The following is a 15525-nucleotide window of genomic DNA, read 5'->3' on the forward strand; positions in this document are numbered from 1 at the left end:
CCTCACCCTTGCCCCAGCCCCACCCAGCCCGAGGCAGCCCCCACCTTCCTTTCTTCCCTGATCTCTCTTAGCTCTTCCTTTCTTTCTTTTTTGTCTCTGAATCATTTTTTCCAATAAGCTGTTGATTGTCTGTTGAATAATTCTCTGAATGATTTCTAAAAGCCTCCTGATCACTGAAACCTCAGAGTTGGAAACACATTTATATTTATGTGGAACTGAGCTTTTAGAACATTATTAAATTTGCATGGGGAACTAGCAGAGTAGCCACTTCCACACAATCCAGATGATGAGGAAGCATCATCTTCAGGAGGATGGAAATAGTTCCACAAGCCACTCTGCCTGGCTTATTACTCTGCTGGGAGAAATCAGCACAGTCTACCTGGGGGTCCAGAGGCAGCATTGACCCAGACAATCTGAGCAAATGCTGTGGCTTAGAAACCACTCAGATGCCTGTGTTTTATAATTGGCCAGCTTCCTAACCTGGGATTCTGGAGCTGCCACCTCAGAAATGGAAGGCAGATTGGGGTTCGTGTGTGTGTGTGTGTGTGTGTGTGTGTGCGCGCGCGCGCGCGCACGCACATGTGCTTGTGAGTGTGTCTGTGTCCACGTGTAGCTGGATGTGTAGTTCCTGTGGGTGGTTTAGTGTGTGCATGACTACATGCCTTCTCTCTCTAAGGAGAGAGGCTGTAGCTTTTGTCCCATGTCAAAAGGGCCACTTGCACTAATGACCTACTATGTACCAGCTGTGTAAGCTGCTAGCTGAGGCCTCTGAGCAGGATAATTCTCATAGAATTTAGAGTTGAGAAAAGAGAAACAAACAGGAAAGGCTGTAGATAGTGGTCAGGCGGTACAGAGAATTTAAATAAATGAGTGGCTTCTCTCAGTCAAAGTGGTACCAGCTGGCCCCTGGCTGCAGCTCACCACGGCCAACTGTGTGACATAGTAACAGTTAACCTCCACTGACTGGTCACCGTGCTCCAGGCACTGTCTTAAGTGGCTTGTATTCATTCCTTTAATCCTCATAACACCCTGAGAAGTTGGGACTATTTAAACAGATTAGAATGCTAAGGTTTTGTGAGGTCACACAGAGAGCGAGTGACAGAGTCCAGACTGAATCTGGGGTTACTCACCTCCAAATGCTTCCCTGGGTAAAATACTGGCCTCTCCAGACTTTATTTTTCTCATCTTTAAAATGGGTTGATTCTTATTTGGCCTATCCCTGACCAAAAAAAATAATATTTTTTAAAATATAAACTTTTACACAAATCGATCTGAAAATCAGCATCCTGCTCCCACTTGGCTCTGGTGCCCTTGATGGAGCTGAAGTCTGTCTGGGTGGTTCCTGAGTTTTCTCAGATTCCTTCAGGGCTGCCAGTTGAACCACCAATGTGTGGAGTTTTACTTAAGCCTCATTTTATAAATCAGACCATTTGACTTGTCTCCCACTAACTTGTCAAAGTTCCAGCGAGCAAGTTTTAGTTCCAGAAGCCAGATGCTTGCCACTGCCAGCTCCCTGAGGTGGGCGTTCTCACCAGCCCCATTCCCTGCTGAGCAGCCACGGGCCCATCTCCCAGCCCAGGGCAAGGCCACATTTCCTCAGACCTCTGAGAGCTCTGAAGTCAGCCTGTGTGGCTGGGGTGGATACAGGCCAGCTGAAGTGGACAGAGGATACCGGTGAACAATAAAAATAACAGATAGCTATGGCAGTCAGGTAAACAGAGTTTGGGCTTACGCTAACAATACGATTGATGGGGTGGGTTTGACCTTTTTTTGTTTCAAGCCATACCAAGAATACCAGTGGACCGTGTCACATACCTCAGTCAAAACAAAAGTGACTTGGATTTGCTTTTGAGGGTCAAAGAAAGGCCTTACAGAAGGGATGTGGGGGAGCCGGAAGCACAGACTTCGGGGGTCAGAAAGATCTAGACTCAAACCCCAGCTCTTGCTTCCAGCTCTGAGCCCTGGGCCCCCTTTTTCCTCTGACTTGCTGTCAGTGATTTCTTCAGGGCATGAAGAGGCTGCAAGAAGGGCTTTCTCTGTTTGCCCTCTAAGCGCTTACCACAGAAGCTTGGCATTTTTCCATTATTTTTATGTATGTGCATGTGTGTGGAGGGAGATTGGGTTTTTTTAATTTTTCAGTTGCATTTTTTTTGTTTTGTTTTGGTGAGTTCTTCTTTACCAAAACCCTGACGTGTGCTTGTTTTATTGTGCTTCTCTTCCCAGTGGAACACAGCTAAACCATTCTGCCCGGCGGAGTGGCTCAGTCAGAGTGCCAGATGTGGGTGATTCATAAGCGTAGTGGCCATCATGTTGAATTGTTACTATTGTCACTGAGTGTGCTGAGCACCTGACTGCACTAACTTGTTTAGAACTCAGCCGTCTGTGAGGTGCACACTGTCACCACCCCCAATTTACAGACGAAGATACTGAGACCCTAATAGGCCTGCTCCCAAATGACTGCTCACAGCGTTACTCCCTTGATGTGGAGGTGTGGGCAGAAAGTCCTGGGGCTCTGAACGCCCCCGCCCAGGGGTCCTGCCTGTGGGTCATCCAGCAGCAGCACCTCTGTCCAGTCCCACACTGATGTGAACAGTCTTCTCTGATCTACAGCTCACAATCTACTTCAGCCCCACTGTCACCCTCTCCCCACTTGTGTGCCGTGTTCAGTCCTCAGGGACCCCAGAACCAGCCCAAGCAGACTAAGGTTCCCTGGGTTCTAGAATCTTGATAGCTCAAACCACTGGCCTCTCCCTGAAGGGTTTCGACACACCCCCCCACCACCCACCTCCTCTCTAGCCTCTGCTTCCCAGCCAGCCCTACCTCCTTCCCAGGATCCACCAGCTAAGCCACCAGTGACCCTGGAACAGTGAACTAGCCCCGCCTCTCTGTGCCTCAGTTTCCCAACTTGTATGATGAGGGAGCATAGACAGAAGCAGTTCTATGGGCCCCTCCAGCTCAGACATTCTCCAAACCCCCATCATCTCTCATTTGACAACTGCAGTGGCCTCCTTGGAGTGCTCCCTGGAGCCACTCTTCCAGGCCTCCCAGCCCCATCTGGCTATACACAGCAGCCAGCATGAGCTTTTGAAACAATATTATTTCATTCCCACCTTTAAAACCCTCCGTGACTTCCTACCACACATAGAATAAAAGCCAAACTCCTTCCCATGGCCAACAGTACCCTACATGACTGGGGGTCACGCCCGGGCTCCCTCTTCTCAGAAGGTGCTTTGAACACAGCCAGCCCGCCAGCCCCTGGCTGCTAGGAGCTGCTGCCGTGTTGCCAATACCATCACTGTGTGTATTGATTTCTCACCCAACTGGTGTCCTTAACTTCATATTTATGGCTTGCCCTGACATTTCCCTTCTCTTACATGTTCCAAATTATTAAAAACAGCTGCTTTATAATTAATTGAGCAAATCACAGAAAAACACTTTTTTTCTGTCTATAAATAATTCCACCTTAACTTTTCTGGGAGGATAAAATGCTGTGACAAGGAACCAGCACACACCTGGTATCTACTATCTCCTCCCCAGCCTGGACTTGAATTCATCTGAACCATCTCTGGTTCTCTCCCCGGCCTGAAACGGGACCTCCACGCGCAGCCGAAGTGGGGTCGGTGGAGAAGGGTCGCAGGATTCCTGAGCAGCTTTTGACTGCTCGTTCTGCCTGCCTGTGGACTGCTTCCCATGATTTCACCACTGCCTTTTGTATGCTGAGCTCTGTGCCCTGTCCCATGCTGGGGTGGGGTGTGCCAGGGGAAGACATCACTCCTGCCCCAGAGGAATCACAGTCTTGTTTTCCAGATGGACACTTGGAGACCCAAGCAACCAAGTGGTGTGATGCTGAGCTCAGGGTGGGGTCAGAGGAGAGCCCCATGTGGAGGCTGGCGGGCAGCCTTCCCATAGCAAGACCCCCACCAGCGAGGCTTGCCACACAAAACGGGTGACCAGCTGCCCCAAGAGTCAGCTCTCTGTGTTCCCTGCAAGGGGCTCTGCTGAGGCCAGCATTTTCTGTGTGGACAGACCCTGACATGGGAGAGGCTGGGAAGCACCAGAGCATGAGCTGGCATCTTGGGTGGGCAGTGACTTCACCCTCTGGAGCAGTAGAGCCCCTCGTGACTGTCAGACAGTTTATGGACTTACACCCTTGACAAAGCATCACAAAGCATGATGGCTGACAGCGACCTCAGAGATGATCACATCTAAAGGGTGACACGGATTTGTCTTGTGTGCTTGCTATCATTGACCCCCAGCTCTTGTCCCCGGCAGTCACTGTATTTCATTCATGGCACTGAATCTGCCCTCAGAGTTCTCTCAGGATAGCCATTGCCCCAGGCAGCCACTACCGGTTGGTTGCAGTCAGCCCTCAAGTTGAAGCCAGTTTCCCACCTCTGATCTACCCAATGCGACACCCTCATTTTATAGACGCTGGCAAGGGAAAGGGCACTGAAGAGCCACAGCAGAACACCTATCTTGCACCCCGAGCTTTCTAACCCCCTACTTCATTGCTTTTTAGATCTTTCCCTACCAAGCCCTACCAAGTTCATTCACTTGGCAAATGTTTACTGAGCACCTACTGTTTGCCCAGTTTGTTGGTACATCCTGGATACAAGAGGGCGCCTGGTATAGGAGCCCAGCATCCAGTGGAGAGACTTGTAAACACAGAACACAGAGGCTGGTGGGAGCCACACTCACTGCCACCCTCACCGGGGAGAGCAGAGACCCTGCTGCCCCAGACTTCAGGGAGCCCCCTGCGTCTGCTTTTCTTGATCCTCAGGGCTTTGCCCATGGTACTGAGGGCCTGTGTTCTCTTTAATCCTTCCTGCCATCCCAGGCAGGCAGATTGCAGGTCCCTCTTCAAGCTGGTGCTCTTGAAATATTGTTCATCATTTATTCAGCAGGTCCAGGAAGATGCCATTAATGAAACTTGTTTCTTTATTGTTCAAAATACGGGATATATTAGATGTGCTGGACTTAACATAACACTTTAACATTGTTGGGAGCTGGCTTTCATGTCCATTGTTCCTAACAAGAGAAGACTGGTGCCTCACAGCCCCTGAAAGGACAAGAGCCCATAATTACACAATTAGGCTCAAACATCAGTTTACAACTTTTTTTTTAATGTGGGCAAACTTCACTTTTCTGTCTAGTTCATGTTTTTTCTTGTTTTCATTCACAACATTCCAAACCAGGTAACTTCTTAGGAGGAATATTAGTGGGTTTGAAATTTACATAATAAACAAATGCCTCCACCCCAGAAGACAGCCCTGTATCATCCATGACTCAGTTTCAGAGTTTCACCGACCAACCACTTCGGCTGGCTGAGAGCTGGTGGCCTGGCCCATGCCTACACGTGCAGTCTGCACAGGTGGGGTTGTGTTGATACTCAGCTGAATAGGTGGGTGACAAGGAAGGACACTGTCCACCTCCACTGGAGTGCATCAGCACTCGTTTCTCCAGTTGCTCTGGAAGCATCCAGGACAGGTAGGGTTAGCCGGCCCCTTATTCTGCTCCCCCTGTGACATTGCAGCTACCCTCATGGCTGGTATGCCCCACAGCCTGGCTCTCTTGGATCTCCTGTTGAGGTAAGCAGAGACCTTGAGAACAGGCTCTGGGCCATTTCTCCTCTGCTTCCTGACCCCACTTTCAGCTCACCCCGCCAGACCTTGCAAGGATGAGGAGATGGTACCTAGTGCCCATCTCAACGTATAGCCTGGAGTCCATTTATTCCATGAGCAGCATCTTGTAACTGAACACAATAGTTAATGAAGCAGATGTAGGCCCTGCCCTCACAGAGCTTACAATTCCCCTAGGAAGAGAAACAGTCATCAAGGAAACAAACCTGTCTAATTACACCTTGCAATAAGTGCTGTTAAAGAAAAGAAAATCATGTTAGGATGAGAAAAACTTTTGCTTTAGATTGGGAGATGGGGGTGATCAGGGAAAGCCTTATCTTGGGGGTTAAAGTGAGACTGGAAAAATAAGAAGGAGACAATCTGGCAAAGACTCGAGTCCAGGAGGAGCCAGTGCAGAGGCCCCTAGTGGAAATGAGGCTGGTGTGTGTGCAAAGCCTAGAAAGGGATGGGCGGAGGGCAGTGGGTGAGGCTCAGGGGAGGAACGACCTTGACCCCACATGGCCTTGTAGATAGAGTTTGGAATGATGGAGAGAGAACCCCAACTCCCAGCCCCAGGGAGAGCTCCACCTCAGGGGCTGTATTTGTTTCCCAGGGCCGTCATAACAAAGCATAATCACAGTTCTGAAGGCTGGGAGTCTGAGATCAGGGTGCTGGCAGGGTTGGTTTCTTCTGAGGCCTCTGCTCCTTGGCTTGTAGATGGCTGTTTTCTCCCCATCTTCACATGGCCTTCCCTCCGTGTGAGTCTGTGTCTTAATCTCTATAAGGACGCCAGTCCTATTGGATTAGAACCCATCTAATCATTTTAACAGAATTGCCTTTTTAAAGACCCTGTCTCTAAATACAGTCACATTCTGAGGTCCTGGGGGTTAGAACTTCAACCTGTGAGTTTTGGGGGAACACAGTTCAGCTCCTAACAGGGAGCTTCCCTGCCGTCCTCTGAGATGAAGCTCGTGGATCAGCATATTTTGAATGCTGCAGCAGGCTGAGGAGCCCAGTTCCACTGCTTGCTCCCTGCTCCCTCTTTGTTGAAAGGAATGATTCACAGGTGTTGATGGGTGTCAAAGATAAAAGGGCACCAAGCAGCCTTTCTTACCGAAGGTCAGTCAGAAGCCTTCCTAGCGTGAGTTAGTGGTGTTAATGCAGGGTCCCAGAACAACCTGGAATCTTCAGCGGCCCACACTCTGGGAAATCCCCTTCATCGTTGTGGCGGAATCTGCAGAGTTTAGGCAGGGAAGTGAGTTGACTGGCCAGGGCGCAGGAGAGCTGGCCAAGCTGCCCCCGCTCCTTCAGGGTTTCCTCCCAACCCCTAGCAGAACCCTTTGCTGGAGAGAGGCCCAGAAAGGGTAGTGCTGAATTCAGTGAGGTGGACTTATGACCAGCTGTCCCCAAGACCCCTGAGATCAGTGTTTCTTCAGCCTCCAGGGCTAACCTGCTGAGGGCTGAGGTGCCTGCAGACACACAGACCAGCCTCCAGTCACTGCCTCCACCTTATGTTAAAGATAAAAATAACTACAAGGCGGGAAATGTCCTAGAGAAACTACCTTGAAATTCAGAAAACATGAAGCCAGGCTTCATCTAATTAAGATGACATTTTAAAAGGGGGGACGGGGGGAGGCTTGGGTGGCATTTTAAATTGCAAGCTGATTGTGCAGCCTAATTTTGGTTCTGAGCAAAGATTCCAGTTGGACCAGAAAACAGGACTTCAAAGGCACTGCCTACTGCTGGCCAGGCAAAGGGAGTGAAAAGGGCAGCGTGGGGCCTCGGGCACAATGTGGCCGGGAACTCTGGGCAAAGGCTGGGGGCCGCGGGGGGCTGCAGCCCTTGGGAGCCTGCTGTGCCTCTGAGGAGATCAGTGGAGCCGCTCCTGGGAGGAGAGCTAATTGAGGTAGCGACTTCTCCTTGGAGAGTGAGCTTTGGTCCACCCCAGCCCATCTTGGGGGCAGTCACTGGACAGAACTCTGGCCTGGTGGTCCCAGGCATGCCCCCACCCAAGTCTCCCCCAGGAGCTACAGAAACAGGCCTGGTTCTTATGCAGAGCGCCCAGTGCCCTCCCCAGGAGGGGGCTGCTCCCTTCCGGGGACTTCTCCTGCCAGCCTCTAAGATTCACCAGGCGAAGAAGGCCAGCTCCCTCCTTCCCAGAATCCCGGGAGGGGCAGCCCCAGTCCCTTTCAGATTGGAGGGCAGCGGCTGGGCCTCCGCGTTGGTAGGGAGATATGGCAGCCAGCTAGCCTGGGAGGTGGAGCATCTGCCCCCAGAGGCTCCTGCATGTCTCTCCTTTTTGTGCACCATAGCTTATCTCACAAAGCCAGCTTCACTCAGCAGATTTTGTAGTTATTGTTATTATTACTCATTCTACTGACATAGATCTGGGCACATGCACACACCCCACGATTTAAGTGCTCCACAGTCAGAAAGCCCATTCCCCAGACTCTGGGTTCTCTCACAGGAGCCCTGGGAGGAGAGCATGGCATGAAGAACACCATTTACGGTTGAGGAAACTGAGTCACAAGGTGTCACATGACTAACCCAGATCCTCTGAGGCCACACCCTGACACTTCCCACAAGTGTTGTGACCTTGGTGGAGTCACTGCTTCCCACTTGACATTTCCTGGTGGAGACACCATGGTGTCTGTCTTCCATTCCCTCTGGCCACTGTCTCACTCTCTCTCAGCAGAGGTCTTTCCCCAGCTCCTCCATAGGAAGGATGGTGAGATGAGCATGAGCTAACAGATGGGAAGAGTCGAAGGAGCTGGTGGGCAAGGGACCTTGGTTCTTCCATGGCTGCCAGTGGGGAGCACGGAGGGTTCCACTGTGGCGCCATTGAAAGACTCAGCGGTGGATGAGAGGGAGATTAGGAGGCCAGTCTGGAGTCGCTGCCCTCATCCATGCAGGGAGGCAGGGGTGTCCTTGGAAGGTAAGAAGAAGGGACAGATTCACACCTTCCTGAGGGTAAATGACCTTGGGAATCAGCCAGCTGCAGGAAAGGAGGAAGAGTGGAGCCAACTTTGGGGTCCCCAGCCTGTGTCATGGGAAGCACAGAAATGCCATTGGAAAGAGGCTGTGTGTCCCCAAAGAGTGGTGTGCGCTTTCCTGGGGCACACAAATGACCTGGCAGTTTTTACAGACCAACAGCTTTGGTTTTAGTAGTTTTATTATTTTAGTGTATATTAGAAAAATTAGCACACAAACCTCTGGTTCTGTGGATATTGTGGCCTAGGGTAAGCTGGCTTTTTTAAATGAGTCCAATTTAATAACATTTTCAAAAATATTGAGTCAGCAGTGACGGTGACTTGCTGATAGGGCAGAAAGCTGGAGAATGAGGCAGGAAGGAATGCGATGCTGGAGCCTTGGATGGGAAACCAGGAGGGGAGTCTAACTGGGGACACATTGAGTTGAGTCTGAAAGGCCAGTGACCCAGAGGTTAGGTAGGGGTAATCCAGTTGTTCCCTGCACAGAGGAAAATCAGGCAGGATCTGGCTCAGGGAGAAGGTGGCTCGGGAAAGCAAGAAGGGGTTTGAGGACTGAGTCCTTGGGAACATTGGCACCTAAATGTTGGGTGGAGGAACAGGACCACAGTTGGAGACAGAGGAGGGATCACAGTGGACTGAGGTGAACCGGCACCCACGGGGCTGGGCGCCCAGAGAAGAGGAGAAGTGGGCGTGATGGAGAGGGCACTGCGAGCCCTCATGGAGTGGAGAGGGAGGCAGCAAGACAGAAGGAGGAGGAAGGGGAGGACAGTGGCTTCACGGGGAGGCCAGCTCAGAGGACGGGTTAGGATGGAGGGGCCAGAGACCCCCACCCCCACCTTTTCATCAGGTCAAGTCTAACTTGGGGTGAAGGGTACAGACTTTCCTTTTGGGGTTTCCCTGAAGTTCATGTAGCTGGATGGGGCTTTAGAGGCTTGGGAGGAAGCAGCCCTGGACTTGGTTTCTATGGCTCCCCGCAGGCCCTCTCCCAGTCACAGGAGACAGCCCCCTTCCCACCTGCTTCACTCAAGCTCAAGTGCTCTCCTAGCTGCTGTGGGGACAGACAGGCAGGGTGGGCTCCCTCTTGCTCCTTCCCAGCTCCCTTCTACGAGGACAGTGGCCACTAGGAGACCAGAAGTTACCATGACAACAAAGCTCCTTCACAGAACAGAGCCCCTGGGCTCCCTGCAACTGTGTCCGGGATATTTGAGGTGATCTTCTCTCAAAAAGGATGAGGCCCCAAGTTGGCTTTTAGAGATGGGGAGAGATGATAGGAGGAGGTAGGGACAGATTCATGTTGCCAGCTCTCCCACCCAGCCAAGGAACGTGTGGGTGCCCCTTCCCTTCCCATAGGATGCCACACACTCCTTGGGGAGCCCACCAGTGGGCTCATTCCACCTTGAAACCAAGACCAAGGAACCAAGGGTGGGGACAAGGACAGAGAAGGGAGCAGGAGGTCTGCGGGCTTGGAAGCCTGGACTCAGTGGCATGACCAGATCACTGCCGCCTGCCTGCAAGCACTGTACATTCCCAGCCAATCAGGGTTGTTCTCAGGCCTCACAGGACCAGAAGCCAAGGCCCTTCTGCTAGGAGAAGAGGGAGGTGAAGTGACCTGTTTCCAGTCCCACCACCCAGGGGCCAGACCCGGACCCACTGCTCCTGTGCGTGCCGCTCTGCTCCCTCATAGCTGAGGAATGTGCAGCAGTGCCTGCTGTGCTGGGTGCTGGGGCAGTCCTCCCCAGAGTGGAGAAAGGACATCAGTTTTAGCTGGCATGATGGATTAACATGTTGATTTTTATCTCAATATTTATGAATTCATTTTCATGGATATTAGAAAAAGATAAAAGCTAGCATATTAAATACATCCTTTCCCAGACATTGTTGGTACTAAATTTCCTTTTGCTTGAAATAAATTTAAGTAGAAAAAGTCTGAAGGAAAATATTAGGTCAGATGCAGTGGCTTATACCTATAATCCAAGTGCTTTGGGAGGCCAAGGCAGGAGGATCACTTGAGGCCAAGAAGACCAGCGTGGGCAACATAGTGAGACCCCATTTCTAAAAAACAAAAAAAAGAAAGAAAAAAAAAAGAAAAAATCAGCAGGACATTGTGGTGTGCTCCCGTAGTCCTAGGTACTCGCAGGAGGCTGAGGCAGGAGGATTGCTTGAGCCTGGGGGGTTCGAGGTTGCAGTGAGCTATGATTTTGCCACTGCACTGCAGCTTGAGTAACAGAGCAAGACCCCATCTAAGAAAAATATTAAGTAAATTAAAGTACAAGTTTTATACAAACAGCAGAAATTTAATGATCATTTATTGAGCACCTATTATGTGCTATAGTGTTCTGTGGATACAGTGGTGAACAAAAATTATGCGAGTAACTGAGGCTTGGGAGATGCTGCTGTGGAGCATGACTTTTACCCTTCTTAGGGGGAGTATTGGCACAGCACAGATCTCTAAGACTCCAGAAAACTCACCTGTGCTCTTTCACCAGCTTACAGTCTTATTGAGAGGGCACTCTATTGCTCACTGAAGCATTAGAAGAGGGACCGTACTCAGTAATCCACAATGCAGGATAAACAGAGGTCAGATGTCAAATAGGGAACAAAAGCCAGGAGAAGAAGGACAATGGCAGAATGTGTTAGTAAGGGTGCCCTAGCTGCTATAACAAATACACCCAAAATGTTTCGTGGTTCAGATGCAATAGGTTATTTCTTGCTCATCTACTAGTCTGGGGCAGGTGTTCTTGGTGGGTGGGTGGCTCTCCTCCACACAGTGACTCATGGACCAACACCTTCCATCTTATGGCACCACCACCCCCTAGGATTTTGTCATCATGTGCATACAGGAGACACACTCACATCTTAAGAGCCTTGACCCAGAAGTGGTATGCTTCATTTTCACATTTCATTGATTTCAACTTAGTTACATGGCAGGTTGTGGCCTACAGAAAAGTTCCCGACTAGCAGACCATGAGAGGGCTGAAATCCAGTGCACCTTCCCTTTTCTAAGCCTTACAACCTGCAGAAAGGAACTCCTTTTTTCTAATTGTACCGGCTGGCTTCTATCTACCCTGGCCAGGGTGTGGGGCTTGGGGGTGGAGATGGGGGAGAGAGGCATGGAAGGGGGTAAGAGGAGTGACAGGGATGAAGGAAAGCAAGAAATGCCTTGGAGGGGAGTGGAACCTGAGCCCAGGTGGCATTTGGTGGCCCTGTAGTTTCAGAGAGTGAGTGCCAACCTGAGCTGGTTCCCCCTGCCCCCACTGGGTTAGGAGCTGCAGTGCCAACCTCTCACCCAGTGAGCCCTGTGCAGCTCTTCCCCAGCAGAGGGCAGAGTTGATACCCTTCCCCACCCGGGCCTGACCCCATACCCAGAGTCACCCAGTGTCTGTCAGGGAAGATGAGGATGGCAGGGGCTAAGTAGAGGCCATGCACCCTGATCCCAGACCTCAGAGAAAAACTGTTGGGGTGATGGCGCCTTGGCTGGAGCAGGCCACCCACCTGGCCCTGCGCTGAACTGAGAACCCGAGGAGCGCGTCCCCTCCCTCCTCCCTCCCTGCTGACATAGCTTGGCAGATGAGTCCCCGGAGGCTTGGCTCAGCCCCTGACCCCCTGTACCCCAGGGGCCAGGCTCTGGGAGTCAGAGGAGCTGGCATCCAGCCCTGGCTCCACTGGGCTGTCCACCTCCTGCCCCGCCCAGCACGGCCCGCTGGGACCTCCTTGCCTGGCCCAGCTGCTGCATGGCCATGGGTGCCACTCTGCCTCACCTGTGTTTTAGTTGACAGGAGTATTTGTCACCCTTGTTTTTACACCTGTCACCATCCCACCTGCCGCATGTAAACACTACCAGCATCAACACGGTAATGCCGGTTCCCCTGGGTGGGCACCAGCCAAGCCCTCTGGGAGCTGAGAAGAGCAGGTGATAGCAGCTGGAGAGGTCCCAGGGGCCAGCCTTCCCTGACCCTGCCCTCGGGGAGACAGGGCTGCCGGGCTCTGGGCCAGCTCTGCCCCTGGCTTGCTGATGGCCCCACCTCCTACTCACGGGCCTCCATTTCCTCTCGGAAGACCAGGCCACTAAATCACAGGGAAGCAGGGCTGCACGGGGCTGGCGATGTGGGCTCCGGAGTCAGGCGGCTGGCGTTCAATCCCAGCTCTACCACCTACTGGCTGAGGGACCGTCAGCAAGTCTCATAACCCATCTGATCTTCGGTTTGTCTGAGTATAAAATGGGGGAAACGATAATACTTGTGAACATCAAATGGAGTAAGCCTCCTGGTAAGTGCTCGACAGATACTGGCTGCTGTCATGATCTCTTGGGGCCTCTCTTTGACACCAGGCCCCTGAGTGCATGTGTGGGTGTTTGTCTGTCTATCTGAGTCCCAAGGCTCACAGCAAACACTGAGGCGGCCACAGCCTGGGCTTGCTGTATCCTTCTGGACTGGTTGGCTCAGCCAGCTCTGACCCCTGAACCCAGAGGTCCCTCCTCGACCCCAACTCTGACAACCTTCCTGCCACCACTGACTTTTTGCAAAGACTCATAATTCTGGATTTCCTACCTGAGGTGGTGGCTGTGGCCGAAAGGCCCATTCTCACCCATGAGAAGGTCTCCTGAGAATGAGCCGCACCTCTGCAGGTGGAGGCCTTGCCATCCAGCCCTGGGATGTGCTGCATGGGACGGTCTGCCCAGGGCCTTCCAAGTGGGGCACGTGCCACCGCTCTGTGAGATGAGATGGCTCAGTGGGACAAGGCTCACACATTTAATAGCATGGGCTCACCGAGTCAGAAAGTGGTTCCTTCTCTCTCAGCTTGTCTGAGAGCCTCAAAAAGAAAGTCTCAGGCTGGTGCTTGGACCTTCATAACACCTCTGAACCTATCTCCTAGGTCAACAAAGAGAGCAAGGCCTCAAGCCCAGAGCCTTCTACAGGCAGGGGATCCAGAGAATTTAGCATCCTATTCTGCTCTCATTGTAGTTATTCTTATGGGTGTTTTCTATTTAAAATACTTTATACAAGTTCTTCACTTATCATAGGGATATGATGTTTATAAGGTAAAAAGATGTGTCTAGGAAAAATAGTAAGTATTACTCATTCGGTGATGCAGGACTTTGGCAGAACTTATGAAGATATTAGGGTATGATGCTTGGGAAAGAATGCTCTTGTCCAGCAGCTCTTAAACATTTTGGTTTATACTCCTAAAAATTATCAAGGACCCCAGTAAGCATTTTGTTTATGTAGGTTATATCTATCAATTTTTATTGTATTAGAAATTAAAATTAAGGAAAATTTAAAATATATATTTATTTGAAAATAACTATAAGTCCATTACACATTAATATAAATAAAATTTTTATGGAAAAGTACTGTATTTTTCAAAAATATTTTAGTAAGGAGAATGTCATTGTTTTACATTTTTGCAAATGTCTTTCATGTCCAGCCTGATAGAAAATGGCTCGGTTCTCACACGTCTCTGCCTTCTCTCTGTTGTGATGTGTTGTTTGGTTGAAGAAAAATTTGGCCCCACACGAACAGGGAAGGAGTATTTTACTAGCCTTTTCAGATAATTATTCTTTGAAACTCCCAGGACTTGGCAAATGGTAGTTTATTAAAGGAGAGTTGCAATGTGGAATCTGAAAGTATATCAATGACCCTTCTTTTTTTACTTTTTTTGAGACGGTATCTGTCTCGCCCAGGCTGGAGTGCAGTGGCACGATGACAACTCACTCCAGCCTCAACCTCTGGGCTCAAGCAATCCTCCCACCTCAGCCTCCCCAGTAGCTGGGACTACAAGTACACACCACTCCCAGGGGGCCACCATGCCTGGCTAATTTTTTTTAATTTTTATAGAGACGGGGTCTCACTGTGTTGCCTGTGCTGGTCAATGACCCTTTCCTGTTCTGTTACATTAAAATTCACTGGCCTACCTTGCACTTTGAATGGATCTCTTACTATGAATGATTTTTAACACCATTTTGGTCATTTGGAAAATATTGGTTCATGAGTTACACAGATCTGAATGTTGACACATTTCAGCATATTATATCAAAAACTCACATTTGTTAATATCAACACTGATCTTTGAGAAAAGCTTTAGGTATTGGGAAGTTACCAAGTTTACAGTGGTAAACACAAGTCTTCCACAATTCTGCATTTTCACTTGAAAGCCAGAATTTTATAATTTTGGTAACAAATATGTCAGTGGTTTTCTTTGAAATCGTGGCTCACTGGTTCATTTTTGGGAGAACTTCTGCCAGAGACCCCAGTCTGAAATCCTACTGCTTGCCGCTCAGGCTTTTCAAGGAAAAGCAGTGTCCCATGAAGGAAGGGATGAGTCCGGCTTGCAACTCAGCCTTTCCCCAGTACAGCCGCCACCCTTACATTTGCAGCACGTGTTTTGTGCTTACTTCCCATGTCATCATCTCACAGAATTCTCAGACGGGTACTCGAGTGGAGTTTTTTATAAGTCGTAATTTTTACTTCTTCACCAACGACATTCTTCAGTCCAGCCAGCATTTGCTTTCTTGGCATGCATGGTGGTAGGGAGTGCAATGGCAGCTCTGCAGCCCGGCGCCGAGTCCAGCGCCGGCGCCTGGCTTCTGGCTAAGGAGACCACGATTGTATCTGCTGCTGCTACTTTTGCACCATCCGTGCAAATGTTAACACTGTTAGGAAGGCAAGTGACATCTTAGTTTTGTTATGAAAATAGTTTTGATTTCATGGACCCCCTTGAAAGGATCTCAGAGACCCCTCGGGGTCCACTGACCACCCTTTGAGAACCGCTGATCTAGCCAATCCCTTCCTTATGCACTAGGGACACTAAGACCCCACAAGGAGAAGAGACTTGCCCAGGGTCCCAAAGCCAGTCAGAGGCAGAGTGACCTGAAGCCCAAAGCTCTGAGATCCTGGAAGCAACGTGATCTGCACCTTTTC

The 15525-nt window shown here is 50.4% G+C and overlaps 1 protein-coding gene across 4 annotated transcripts in view, besides 3 other annotated features; it reads left to right on the plus strand.

The window, feature by feature from the left end:
* The window catches only part of GNAO1 (G protein subunit alpha o1), a 165956-nt gene that overhangs the window by 107991 nt on the left and 42440 nt on the right, over nt 1–15525 (plus strand). The window lies entirely within an intron of this gene.
* Nucleotides 3818–4318: an enhancer, noted in NCBI's record as "H3K4me1 hESC enhancer chr16:56337209-56337709 (GRCh37/hg19 assembly coordinates)". NCBI's record gives its function as "activates a minimal SCP1, AML or CMV promoter by ChIP-STARR-seq in primed H9 embryonic stem cells {active_cell/tissue: H9 hESC(primed)}" and the evidence as "EXISTENCE:reporter gene assay evidence [ECO:0000049][PMID:30033119]".
* Nucleotides 6420–6921: an enhancer, noted in NCBI's record as "NANOG hESC enhancer chr16:56339811-56340312 (GRCh37/hg19 assembly coordinates)". NCBI's record gives its function as "activates a minimal SCP1, AML or CMV promoter by ChIP-STARR-seq in naive and primed H9 embryonic stem cells {active_cell/tissue: H9 hESC(naive and primed)}" and the evidence as "EXISTENCE:reporter gene assay evidence [ECO:0000049][PMID:30033119]".
* Nucleotides 12718–13694: an enhancer, noted in NCBI's record as "H3K4me1 hESC enhancer chr16:56346109-56347085 (GRCh37/hg19 assembly coordinates)". NCBI's record gives its function as "activates a minimal SCP1, AML or CMV promoter by ChIP-STARR-seq in naive and primed H9 embryonic stem cells {active_cell/tissue: H9 hESC(naive and primed)}" and the evidence as "EXISTENCE:reporter gene assay evidence [ECO:0000049][PMID:30033119]".

The sequence above is a fragment of the Homo sapiens genome, chromosome 16, assembly GCF_000001405.40.
Source record: "Homo sapiens chromosome 16, GRCh38.p14 Primary Assembly".
Lineage (NCBI taxonomy): Eukaryota > Metazoa > Chordata > Mammalia > Primates > Hominidae > Homo > Homo sapiens.